Source organism: Homo sapiens, chromosome 15, assembly GCF_000001405.40.
Source record: "Homo sapiens chromosome 15, GRCh38.p14 Primary Assembly".
Lineage (NCBI taxonomy): Eukaryota > Metazoa > Chordata > Mammalia > Primates > Hominidae > Homo > Homo sapiens.
The window spans coordinates 87,584,473-87,598,351 of NC_000015.10; the positions used below are offsets into that span (position 1 = coordinate 87,584,473).

The 13,879-nt window shown below is 43.0% G+C and overlaps 2 long non-coding RNA genes across 2 annotated transcripts in view; one reads left to right on the plus strand and one right to left on the minus strand.

Moving 5' to 3' along the window:
* LOC102724465 (uncharacterized) overlaps window positions 1–13,879 on the minus strand; it is a 379,687-nt gene that overhangs the window by 260,304 nt on the left and 105,504 nt on the right. The gene's annotated exons all lie outside the window — the stretch shown is intronic.
* Window positions 6,403–9,699, plus strand: LOC124903579 (uncharacterized). The gene is made up of 2 exons (XR_007064794.1): window positions 6,403–6,472; window positions 6,998–9,699. It is a non-coding gene; the product is annotated as an uncharacterized LOC124903579 (long non-coding RNA).

Genomic DNA, 13,879 nt, shown 5'->3' on the forward strand with positions numbered 1-13,879 from the left:
GGAAGGTGACGGGTAGCCTTCCCTCACCTGCATGTGAGCTCAGCAAAAAGACCTCCTGCAGTTTTCCCTAGAGGACAGTGAATTTGCCCTTTATCAGGTCTTATATTCATGTGATCAGTTCTCCCTTCTCCCCCAGAATGACTCTTGACTTCTGCCTCCAATTCCTAAGTGTGTATTTTATAAAAGTGCCACTTCAACACCCCATTTCTTAGAGCTCTTTTAAAATGTGCTTTGCACCCTCCCCACCTGCTGAAGCCCAGAAATACTAAATTCTTTGCTTTGGAACTCTCGGCAGACTCATGAATATCACAAAGACGCATCCTAGCATCTTTTCACTCCAGCCCCCAACAAGTTGATACTCGGCGCACGTTTCCAAAGAAAAGGCCAGTAATTGGTTTTGCTGGGGGAACAACCTCAGAGATAAATGTCCTGTGTACAGTCATTTACCTTCCCTGGGTGTGTGTGTGTTTCTGTCTTGGGTGCTGGTCCCTCTCATTGCTCACTCCCCACACCTGAAATGCCATCATGGTGACAGAGGGACTGTCAGAGCTGTCAGCAGACAGCTTTTGGCAAAGGTGTATCATTTAGAGGAAAGAAGGCTTGCTTTCCAGGCTCAGGCAGACAGGCACATGGCTCCCAAATCAATTTGCTCCTCCTGCATGCAAGCCTTCTTTATAGTTATTATGCCAGAGTAAGAAAGCTTTAAAAAGAAAGGCTATTTGGCAATACCTGTATTAATTTGCATATAGTGAGAGGTACGTGTGTGAGGGGAAAGAGCCGTGTGAAATCTGAATCCTCCTCTCCTACAGAAGGAAATCAAGCAGCTTCTCATCGAATTCGAGGGTGCCATGTTCTGGTGCCTGTCTCTCTGGCCTCTCAAGGTATCCCTTATTTGTCATGCCCTTCTGCTCTCCCATGCACATCTGCAGCAGCTCCATCAAGCTCTGTTGTAATTCTGCAATGTGCCAAGTGCTCTGGCACCTCAGCATGGTGCACGTGATACCTCCTATGCCTGAGGACCCCTTCCCAACTTGGTGGCCCTCCTAACCCTACTCATCTTTTTGATTTGTATGAGTGTCACCTGCTCTAGAAGCCTTCTTTGACATCTCAGTTCCAGTCTATTTCTTCATTTCCCTTAGTTCCCTGAGGCACTCTGACTGTAGGGCCTCTCAAAGAAGTGGGATTGTATGTCTAGGGTACTTCTCTACCTCCCCATCTAGGATTGGTGAGTTCCTCAGGATAGAGCTGATTGCATTGATCTGTGGGGCCCTCCAGACCTTTGAGACAGTCTGTGAACAGGATGTCAACGTATCCTCAAATCCTGCTAAGCCATGGTACTGACTTCTTAAAAATGGAAGTGAGGAGGAGGGCTTCACACTTACCACCTGCAAGAGACCTTTACTGTTTGGCACCATTCTCAAGGGGTAAGAGGGAGAGTATTTTGTTTAGATTTGGATACTCTTGGGTTTTCATTCCAGCTCCATCCCACTCAAGCTATGTGACTTTAATTAAAGCACTCAGCTTTTCCAGGCTGCAGTTGTCTGATCTGTGAAAGGTGGATAATGGCAGCTCCTATCATTGTATGGATTAGAGATGATGCGTGAAGTGCTGCACCATGTAGTGGGGGCACCAGATGCCCGATATTAGCATCATTTTGCTTCTAACATTTTGTATCCTTTCAATCTGTTGTACAGATAAAAATTCTGTTTAAACCAACTGTTACAAGAAAAATCTCTCTGTTAAAAAAAATCTTGATTGCTAACAATAATTAATATATTCAAAGCAATAGAGAGAACAGTAAATTTCCCCAACTACCACAGTTAGGACAGGCTATTGGGGTTCTTTGAAAGTTGCCTGTAAATAATTAGCATCATTATTTGGTAAATTATATCTAGCTAAAATATTACCTGATTAATGTGTTCCTTCCACAGATCACTTAGCTATGAGCTCTAAAACCATGAGTGATCCTTTTCATTTGAGGTTGCTTGTTGACTGACATGTGTCCTTTGTACATAATGACATTTAGACCATGGTCTCTCAATAAGCTTTTGAATTCAAACAGGCACTGCTAATGGGGAATTTTGCTAATGCTAATAGCTATCATAGTAGTGTTATGATAATAGTCACATCTTGTACTTCTCCAGGGTCTTTCTCGGTCTTTCTTGGAACACTGAAGAGACCTTACTGTCATTTTTCCTCAGTGCTCCCAGCAGCAAGAAGGCACCTGTTACTATTTTGGAAGCAAGAAAATTATGAAAGTGCCCAAATGTTCTCCAATGTGGAGAGAGAGCAGAACCTATAATTACCACATTTATGTGAGACCATTTTTCTACATTAAATCCCATCCTGTTTCACTCTAAATACCATTTAAGCCAACCTCCAGCTTTTCCTGGTGCCCATCTTCAACTAAGCACCTCATTGTCTTCTGTTCTAAGACTTTCATTCAAATATGGAGTTTCCAGGAAAATAATTCACCTCATCAAACCAATTTAAGGGAACTGCACTCATATTTTACCCTAAATCTTTCCATTGATTGATTCATTCATTTAAAATGCTTATTGGACACCCCTACAGAAACCTGTACCAGGTTCTGAGTAATGAATGGAGGCAGACTTCAAGACAGCCTGGCCAATATGGTGAAACCACGTCTCTACTAAAAATACAAAAATTACCCAGGCATGGTGGCGAGCACCTGTAATCCCAGCACTTTTGGAGGCCGAGGTGGGTGGATCACCTGATGTCAGGAGTTTGAGACCAGCCTGGCCAATATGGTGAAACCCCGTCTCTACTAAAAATACAAAAATTACCCAGGCGTGGTGGCAGATGCCTGTCATTCCAGCTACTTGGGAGGCTGAGGCAGAAGAATCACTTGAACCTGGGAGGTGGAGGTTGCAGCTAGCCAAGATTGTGCCATTGCTATCCAGTCTGGGAGACAGAGTGAGACTCTGTCTCAAAAAAAAAAAAAAAAAAAAAAAAAGGAGGCAAAATGCAGAGATTCCTCAGATGAGGCCCCTGGGAGATGGTAAGTGAGTACCCACATAACCATACCTACCAAAAGATAGGGGTGGTGCCCAGAAGGTACAAAGGAAATGCTACCTCTGAAACATATGAAACAAAGACTAGTCAAGTAGTATCTCCTGCCTGAGAGTCAGCATGACAGAGGAGAACAGGAGGGCCTAGACTGCAATTCCTGCTCTGATACTTAATTAGCTGTGTGATTTGGGAAAGGGTATTATCCTCTCTGAGTCTCTCTCTCCTCGCCTATAAAATAATGTTAATAATGCCTATTGGCATGGATGCTATGAGGTTTAAAGGTTTGGCATCTAGAATGCATAGTAAGTACTCATGAATATAAGAAGCACCTCTCCAAAACCAGCTCCCTGCTAAGAAAGGTTTGTGTATATGTGTGTGTGAGTGCACACACGTGCACATGCATGCTTATGTTTTGTGGGCATATGATCATTCATTGTGGTTTTTTGCTGCCTCTTCTCATAATAACCCATTTTTGGTCACCTGATTCTTTCTCCAGGCCCATGTCACAATTGTAACATTAAGAAGAGATTAGAACGGCATGTGCCCACCAAAGCTCACAAAGAGGAAAAATATCTCCCTCAGATATGTATTAGAACACAAAAGTATATAGAGATCCAGTCATGTACATTCTGAAACACCAACTAAGGATTTATTCCTCACAGTTGCCAATTTTTCATCAAAGTTGCGAAAAAAATGTATCATTAACACTTCAATTGATCTGTCTGGAGGAATGACCTATATCAACCACCATCACGTGTATTCCAAACAAAAGTGCACTTACTTATTAGTATTCCTTCCAATGCATCATCTCCTAGGTTTTACTCATTTATAAGTATTCAACAAATACTTATCACGTGCCCAACATATACTGGAGTTGTGCTAGTTTCTTGTCATGTAGCAACCTGTTCTATGGGGGCATAAAGAGAAACACTCTGTGGCATTGTGTTTGTATGGGTGTGTGTATGTGCATGCATTTAAATGCATGTACCTATGTGGACACGACTGCATGTGCCTATATGTTTGTATGTATGCGTACATGTGCACATGCGTGTACATGTATGTCATATATGTGTATTCTATGTAGGTGTGCACTTGCATACATGTCTATACACATGCATTTTAAGTGTGGGTATGCACATGTGTAGTCTACATGTGTCTATGTGTATGCACGTATGTGTACATATTTGTGCACATGTTTTAGTATTTTCCAGTGATTCAATCCAGCTCTTCTCATAGGAACTTCATTTGGTGGCCAGTGTGGAAATCATCTTATTGGGAAGATGAATTTCTCTATGAATGTTCTGCTATGTACTTCTGGAATATGGTATAGTGTTCTCATTTTCTACTTTTTCAGAGAAGAAGTCAGGAAATAAATCATAATTCCTTTGGCTTCAGAGACTCCACTCATCTCTAGCCCCTCAACCAAGTACCTAGCACAGGACCAGGTACAGATCAGGCACTCAGCAAATATTTGTCAAATTGTATGATACTGAGTCTCTGTCTTATACTCAGTCATCACAAGACATGACCCAATTTGCCAAGTATGGTCTGGGCTGCCCTGGGATGGCTTTGGCCTATAAGGATACACGATGTGGCCTGAAATATGTGTCCTAGGCTTGGATAATACACAACCCATCTCATTCCAATGTTGGCTCATTGGTTTATTCCAGAAGTAACACAACCAGCTAAAATGCACTGTCCTTGACTCCCTCACAAGGCCTGCCAGCATTGCTCTGAGAAAACACGAGCCATCATTCTCCCTGGTCCTCCCTACCTCCTCTCCTCCTACTGACAGGTGGGAGGAGTTAGAGGTTCCTGAGCACGGAGATGGTGAGCCACATCACATGGGGGTGACTCTGTTGCAAAACCAGGGAGAAGGAAGCAAAGAGACCCAGACAATGCTTCTAACAGCACTTCTCCTGGAGGAAATTAAAGGAAAAACAGGAAATGAAGCTGGAGACAAGGACACCAGAGGGCTGAGTGGAAGCCAGAGCAATGACCCTTAGGAATTTTTTTCTTGTGGGAGTCAGAGAATCGTAAAGAGCTTCCAGCACAGGGGTGTTTAGGCCTGGCTTTCCCAGCAGGGCCAGAGGTGAGCACTGGATATAGAGTCTAGGAGTGGCTCTGCTGTTTCTAGCAGCCTGGCCTCAGATGCATTGTATAGTTTCATCAAATCTAGTTTTCTCTGATTGTGATGTGGAGAAAAATTATACCTCTTCACAAAATTGTGCATTCTGTTTACCAAGATAATATATGCTAAAAATGACAACAGCAAAAAGCTAGCATGCAGTATAAGTAAGTACACTCCCTATTATTTTATGCTATATTTCATCTGGGTACTATCATAGGCGATGATCTGCTTTCCTGAGGCTCCAGAGGGTACTGCTATCCTTGGAATGAGCCTCCCCTGAGAACATTCCCCCAGCATCAACTCAACCACCCTGAACCACCCCAACTTCACCTGGGGCACCAGTGTTCTCAAATATATGAGTACCAGAAGGGCATAATTTCAGGTTTGCTCATGGCCACACTCTTCTCTCCAGTGTCTCTTTGTGTAAATAGCCTAAATCTTCTGAGCCTTTATTTCATCATCCATGCAGTGGAACTAGCAACTCATAGATCTGTAGTGAGGAAAATCTAAGAGACTGAATATAAATAAATTAACCCATCAGTTATACCTTAATAAAGCTGGGAAAGTAAAAAGGGGAGCCCAGTACCTTGGAAATAATTAAGTGCTCCATAAGCATTGCCTACCCTGGTAATAACCACGAATAGTTATGCTACCACTGCTTGTTATTATTAATAATAAAGTGAGCTTCATTATAAACAGAAAGCACCTTGCTCCTCAAAAAGAGGGTGTCTCCTCTGGAGGAGAGGCTCTCCAGGTCCGAAATTGCCAGCATGTAGCCAGCTGCCGTAATGGTCCTGCATTTTCATTCTGCCAGAAAGTCTCAGAGGCATCCTGATGTCTGCAGGCTGCTCTCACCTCTCCTGCTTAGGAAAACTGTGTGCCACTGTGACTGTGTTTATCAAGGACATGCCACAAGTTGCAGTGATGGGTGACAGGTTTTAATTTCCTGCCACTGTCCTTCTAGAAATGTAAGCCAAACCAGCACTACGAAAGGCAGACAATGTACAGCTACTGCAGGATGGAAATGAGACATGAGGATGAGGACAGAGCAGAAGCCAGGACTTGGCCCTCATTCATGGAGCACCCAGTGTGCCTAGCACTGGCGCAGGCACTGCGAGGCACACAAAACCTTTCAAACATGCATCCACCCTTGAATGCTTTTCAGTGTACATAAAATATTTAGGAAATGATCTCAGACAGCACAGAGTCACATGCTGTTTCCTGAAGTTTGGAGAATTGTGTGAAGAATAGTAAGAAGGAGTTGCCTGGGTGTGAGTTTGCAGACAGCAGCAGAAAGAGAAGAAGAAGGTACTGGAGGGGGGATGTGTGTCTTTTTCAAGGGCTAGGCTCAGAGCACAGCAGGCAGAAGCAGTAAGAGGAGGTGCTTGTTTCCTGGAGAGAAAGATATTCAGTGTTATGAGTGACAGCCCAGAGTCCCAAGGATCACAGTCAAAAATAACTTATCATTTCTTACTAATTCTAAGACAATTTGTTTTTATTACACCTGACTAGTGTCCCACCACCAGCTGAAACCAGGCCTTCTGTGGTTTCCATTCTTCCCCTCTAATGTTGCCTATTTAATGCTAATAATAGCCTCACTGACTCAAGTAGTAGTGGAGTAAATACTGTCACTCAGGTCTCAGAAGTATTAGCCTGCATGTAACTGGCCCTTGCTCCCTACAGCCCGTCCCTGCCCAGTATAGCAGCAGCCCCTCTGGATAGGAGAGTGGCTCCTCCCTTGGCTCACAACAGCATCTAGAATGCTCCTGGTGTTCCATCAATATTTCCTACAACTAATTATATGGTAGGTTTTGATGTTTTATTCCTGGGCAGCCAAATATATTTCATGCTGAGAAGGACAAAAGCACCCAGAGCGGTCTAGAGAGCCCACTGGAGAAAAGGTAAGATGAAAGAAAAACATCTTCTGTCTCTTTCCTCCTTGCTCTGTCTTTCTGTCATGGCCTATCATTCTCTGCCTTCCTGTCTCTCCATCACTGTCTTGGGTTCTCTCCTTCTCTGCCTCCTCTCTCCTAGAAAGGCAACCCCCTGGTGGCGTCTATTGTCAACAACTGTGACACTACAGCCAGGGGCCCACCACCTGCAAATTGCCTTCCAGGCCCCCTATGGCCACTGATATTAGAAGAGGCTCCAATTGTCCTCATATGGATAATAACCAGATGGGTTGGGTCAGGCTGTTCTGCCTGCTGAGTTAACCACACCACACCCCTGAAGGACTTGGAGGACTGTGTGGCAGGATGCAATGCTATGCAGCAGCCTGGAGCCACCTACGGAGTGTGCCAGCTTCAGGGTCCCCAGTCACCTGCAGGAAGCTGCATATCCTGTTTGCCTCCAGGTAGCACATCCACTGGGGACCAAAGAAGGTTAGAATCGATCTAGATTCTCGACTGGAAAAGCACATCAGGAAATGTAGCTAACACGCAGCCTTTTCTAGTGTGGCTAAAGGAGGCTTTGTTTTTATTCATTCAAAACCAATGGCTTGGGCCTCCCCAGCACAGTGCTAGACAGGAGAATCCAGAGATAAGTAAAACACAGAATCTGCCCTCAAGGAGGCCAGATCTTGTAGGATGCTAGGACAGTGGACCCACGACAATTAGAACTGCAAGGAAATTGGACTGATAGTCTTTGCTCACATTGCTTATAGTAGTTTGCAAGGTTGAGCCATAATTTCAAGTTGTTACATTTATTTGTTAGACATTAGGATGAGTACTAGTTCTGGCCAAGAAGTATTTCCATTTCCCCATTGCCTCTCTCTTACAACCAGAAAACCATTAAGGGGCACAGAATAAGGCAGACTGCCTAATGCTCTCGACCTGAGGAGCAACAAGGTGGTGAGTTCCCTGGGTGTCTTCTTTGCCTCTCCTATACCCTGTACAGGGCACTGCAGAACCCTCCAAGTCAGAGCCATTCACAGACACAGACAAAAAAGCTTCAAGAAAATCCTGTTTCCCTCAGCCAAAGGATCAGAAAAAGGGTCATCTAATCACAGAAAACCATTATGGCAGTACCTGCCCTGCTCAAGCCACACTCCAATAAAAAAACTACAGTCCGTCGACAGGACCAAGAGGAGCTGAGCTTCTATTCCACTCCCATCCCTGACCCCATATAAACAGACAAAGGCACACTAATTCCCACACCAGTGTAGAATCAATGGGATCCACCTACCTATAAGACTGAACATGACAATTCAAGTCAGGGCTCCATGCCCTCTTTACCCTGGGCATTAGTGAGTTGAGCTGTGCCTTCACCCTCATCTAGCACCAACAGAACAGGCCAAGGTGGTGCAAGGCAGGGCTAGTCTCACTTTACTTCCTCCTGGCTTCCTGGTACTGACAGGGCCCACTGAAGACCCGAGCCTCCACCCCACTGGCAACAGTGAAAGGGAAGAAGATGGTGGGAAGAGTGAAAGAGAACAAGCAGGGATAGTTAGCACTCTGCTTCTTCCTCCCCTCTCCTGCTGTCATCTGCATCTACCTGAAACTTGGGCTTTCACTGCTAGCCTGCAGCAACAAAGCAGAGGCAGTGGACAAGGAGGAAGCCACGCGGGCAGGCGCAAGAGTGACAACTTGAGACCCTTCCAGAGACTATCAAGAAAGAGGTGATTTGCATTTCTCTGATGGCCAGTGATGATGAGCATTTTTTTCATGCATCTGTTGGCTGCACAAATGTCTTCTTTTGAGATATCATCTCACACCAGATAGAATGGCGATCATTAGAAAGTCAAGAAACAACAGGTGCTGGAGAGGTTGTGGAGAAATAGGAACACTTTTACACTGTTGGTGGGAGTGTAAACTAGTTCAACCATTGTGGAAGACAGTGTGGCGATTCCTCAGGGATCTAGAACTAGAAATACCATTGGACCCAGCCATCCCATTACTGGGTATATACCCAGAGGATTATAAAACATGCTGCTATGAAGACACATGCACATGTATGTTTATTGCAGCACTACTCACAATAGCAAAAACTTGGAACCAACCTAAATGTCCAACAATGATAGACTGGATTAAGAAAATGTGGCACATATACACCATGGAATACTATGCAGCCATAAAAAATGATGAGTGCATGTCCTTTGTAGGGACATGGATGAAGCTGGAAACCATCATTCTCAGCAAACTATCACAAGGACAAAAAAACAAACACCACATGTTCTCACTCACAGGTGGGAATTGAACAATGAGAACACTTGGACACAGGAAGGGGAACATCACACACCAGGGCCTGTTGTGGGGTGGGGGGAGGGGGGAGGGATAGCATTAGGAGATATACCTAATGTAAATGACGAGTTAATGGGTGCAGCACACCAACATGGCACATGTATACATATGTAACAAACCTGCACGTTGTGCACATGTACCCTAGAACTTAAAGTATAGTAACAAATATATATATTTAAAAAAATTAAAAGTAAATAAAAAAAAGAAAGAGATGAATCCTGGGACCTGCCCCTTAAAGGTGTGTGCTGATCTAACCAATGAATTTAGGAATAAACTGTGAAAGCAATTTTACCCTAACACTCACAAGCTGTGGTATCTAAGGGACTTTCAAAATGAATATTTATTCAACTCAACTGAGTGACAAACCTATTAGATGCCAGGCATGGCCAGGTGCTTGAAATACAGAATAAAAGATGACTTCTGTAGTATTCAGGGTTTCACAGCCCAAAGAATCAGGCAGGCATGTAAATTATCAATCAATAGAGTACCAGGTCATGAGTACTATAATCAGGACTTATATAAGGAACAGCAGGCATGTAAAAGAAGCCAATAATGTGGAGGGACTTAGAGCAGGGCTCATACAGAAGACCTGAGATGAAAATAGTTTGTCAAATGATCGAATGACTTGAATGAATGAGTAGTAGATAAAGGTGAAGAAAGTTTACAGACAGACCCTAGGTAGGAGGTACTATTTGTATGTTTCCTTCACAGTGAGAAAATGATCATTTCCTGTAAACACACATGCATGGACTCTTCTAACTGTGCTTTCCCCTGTACATGACTTCCACTGGACATATGCCAAAGTTTTCCCTACCTTTTACTTCCCTGCCTCCAGGAGGATCGGATAAGGTGTTACCAGGTCTTGCCAGAAAACTGGAAATCCCTCTTGGCCATCTGTACTTTGAGAGGTGGGAAAGCATGTGCCTTATGCTTAACCATACTGAGCTGCTTATCTTAAGTTATCCCCTTTCTCTGGGAGACCAAAAAGCCTTCCATTGAGGGCTGGAACCCTCCTTGCATGAGCTGTGTCCCCTGACCATACCTTCCTGCTCATCCTCCCTGCCTCTTTAATTCTGGGGCCTTAGGGGTATTTCCTCATGGCACAGAAGAAACAAAAAAAGGCTAGGGACAAGGCCTCATTCTAAAAGTATTCTAATCCATTCTATTGGTCAAGTAAATCTTACCTCCTGTCTGAAATCGCTCTTGCTCAGACAAAAGTCTACACATTTTTCACAGAGCTCTCTGGCACTTAATGAAACCCCAAGTCCATTATGTCTTGTCACTGAAAGTGTGCTCTGACAAGGCTGAAAAACTTCCTGGAGAGATGACAGTGCATGTGCCTGACTCTTTAAGAGACAATTGTGTGTAGTCACATATTGCTTTGTGGATTGGCGGGTGGGTAGGGAAAGAGGCACCTGTCACTGACTCTCTCACCTGCTGACATGACCCATATGGAAAAAAATGAAATCATGGGTGTATGGCATCATCCAAACACCAAGAAAGAGCCAACACTATTTGCCTCCACTGGGGGTTTTCTAAAGGTTTATGGTCAGAAATAGGACATCCACAAAGCATGTGTATTTCTGCATGTAATTTTATAAATTATGTTACACATTCTTATCTATTTTTCTTGTCTTTAAAATTGTAAGACTAACACTATCTTCTCCAAACAGTCCATGTGATAATTAAATGAGCTCTGAAATACTATAGATAATGGTGAGACATAATATATCTCGAATAAGTGTTGCAATTGTTATTATTGGTATTGTCAATTTCATGTGATGGTAATCCATTATGATTATAAAGGACTTTCAGTGTACTGAAAGTTTTTATATTCATTGATGAGAAAATTGTTATTGTCGACATTTACAGAGTATCAAAGAAGTTAAGTGATTTGCCCCAGGGATCAGACTAGTGATAACTGAGCTAGGAAGTACAGAATAGAGAGGTGGATAAGAGCTCAGCTTTTGGCTTTGGACCACAGAGCACTGATCTTAGCTTTACTACTCCTTACTATGCAACACTGGGAACATTACCTGGCCCCTCTACCCATCCAGTTCTTCACCTACAAAATAGTTTCTTACTTCATAGGTTGTTGTGGGGTTCAAATAAGATAATCGATGAAAAGCACTTAGAGCTGTGTGTGGCATATAGTGTGTGCTCAATAAATATTAGCTACTATCACTGCATTCAGATTGTCTGAGTTCAGCACTCTTTCCACTACATAACTCTAAAGACAGCAGCTTCAGAATCTGTTTTAGAATAAAAACTAACTGAAAATTGTGATATGTCTATTCTCATTTAAGAGGTAGTAAGAGTATGCAGCTAAAGAGTATGCCACAGAGTAGAGATCCATGGTGAAAAAACAGAGCCCAGTGGAGAGGGAGAGGGCTTATATTCTTTTTTTTTTTTTTTTTTTTTTTTTTGAGATGGAGTTTGCTCTTGTCACCCAGGCTGGGGTGCAATAAAACAATCTTGGGTCACTGCAACCTCCACCTCTTGGGTTCAAGGGATTCTCCAGCCTCAGCCCCCCAGGCAGCTGGGATTACAGGTGACCGCCATCACGCCCAGCTAATTTTTGTACTTTTAGCAGAGTTGGGGTTTAGCCATGTTGGCCCGGCTGGTCTCGAACTCCTGACCTCAGGTGATCCATCCACCTCTGCCTCCCAAAGTGCTAGGATTACAGGCGTGAGCCACCACGCCTGGCCTTAGATTCTATTTTTAAACAAGGGAGAACAAATACAATACCATGCAAGTATTCTATGCTCCCACATAGTCTAAAGATATAGCTTATTCCTTCTTAATATACATTATCAAATAGACATAAAGGAGTAAGAAGGTATTTTCACTGTCCATGAGTGGCTAGAAGACCATTTCTGCAAAAAAAAAAAAAAGGTGGGGTGGGGGGGTATCTTGTAAGTCCTTGTGCTACATCATTGATAATTCACTTATTTTATCAGAAGAATCAATGAAATAGTGGGGATGAGAAAAATAGAGGAATTACGATTCTGGGCTGACTGATGGGAAGACATACCTGGTGAAGTAGAAGAGACAAGATCGGGGGAAAAGTAAGTTTTAACTTCTTTTTGAAACAGAGAGGAAATACATTCTTCAAGTGTACCACTTAATGATCTGCATCTTGGAGCCCAGATTTGAATCCGAATTCTGATTCTACTGCTTGGTTTATACATCAGCTTCAGTCATTTACTGGCAGACTCCAAATTTCCTTTTGTTGTTGATTTTAAAGGAAATACAAATGATTCTGTTTGTTACTATAACTATCCTTAGAACTAAATGAAATGGTGCATGTGACAAATCCAGCACAGTGCCTGGCACACAGCACGTACTCAAAACAATATTTAATTCTTTGTCTTGGGTTTGAAACTTCAGAGTTCGAACAAATGGTAGCAAATCTCCCACGGTCAGAGAATCCATGGGAGCACATGGATGGCATTAAATAGGGATTTCCAAGAAGAGAAATTGTGATGAGACAATTATGAACAATTCTAATGAGATAAAAAAATGCTGTTAAAGTAACAAGTGTCATTTCACAGAGGCTCTCTGACAAGCTCAGATTGCAAAAGGCCAAAGATAAAAACATGGGCAAAAGGATGTATGAGCTAAGAGACACATAAAACAGGAGTACAACAACCCCATGAGGATGTGGTGTTGGGGCCAAACCACAGCAAACTGATACTGTCAAAAATGCCACAACCAGACAACAGAAACTTTGAAGCTTCATTTGGTGAAGGCAATTGAACCAGGGAGTTACAAGCATCTACTTGGATGGAGATGGTATATTATTAACCTATAAGAGGACCCTGGCAGAAATCTGTATACACCTCTTCTTACCCTTTCTCCAGTCTGAGAGAGTGATCTGCAAACAGGAAAGGCCAAAACAAATGTTGCAAATGAAGGACTGTGGCATCAGATAAGGAAGGAGATGAAAAGGCAGTGAGCCAATCAGAGGGTTACCAGAGGCCAATGGTGCAGAGCAGAGTCCCTATAGGCTGGTGTAAGGACTTTCACTTTTACTCCTAGTGATATAAAGCACTGTCTTGAGCAGAGAAACAAACAACAGGATCTGACTTGGGTATTAAAGCGATTGTCATGACTCCTGTGTTGCAGACAGATGCAAGGAGATGGAAGAAGGGTAAAGGTCGAAGCCAGGAGATAGACCAGTTAGGATTATGCTACAATGCTTCCAGTTAGAAATGAAGGTAGACTGTACCAGAAGGTTAGCAGTAGAGGAAGTAAAGCCTTCTGGACACACATTTAACATATACAAAAATGGCAACAATAGAAAAGTAGAGTGACTGTCTGTCAAAAAACTTCAGCTCATGGCATATCTTGCTTCTTGCTTTTTCTATACTCATTTTTTCCTACTATTGAATTAGTGAGAGGCAAATACTAATCCACACATATTGTTCAAAACTTTTAGAGACACATTATGTTAAAAACATAAGCATATTGCCAT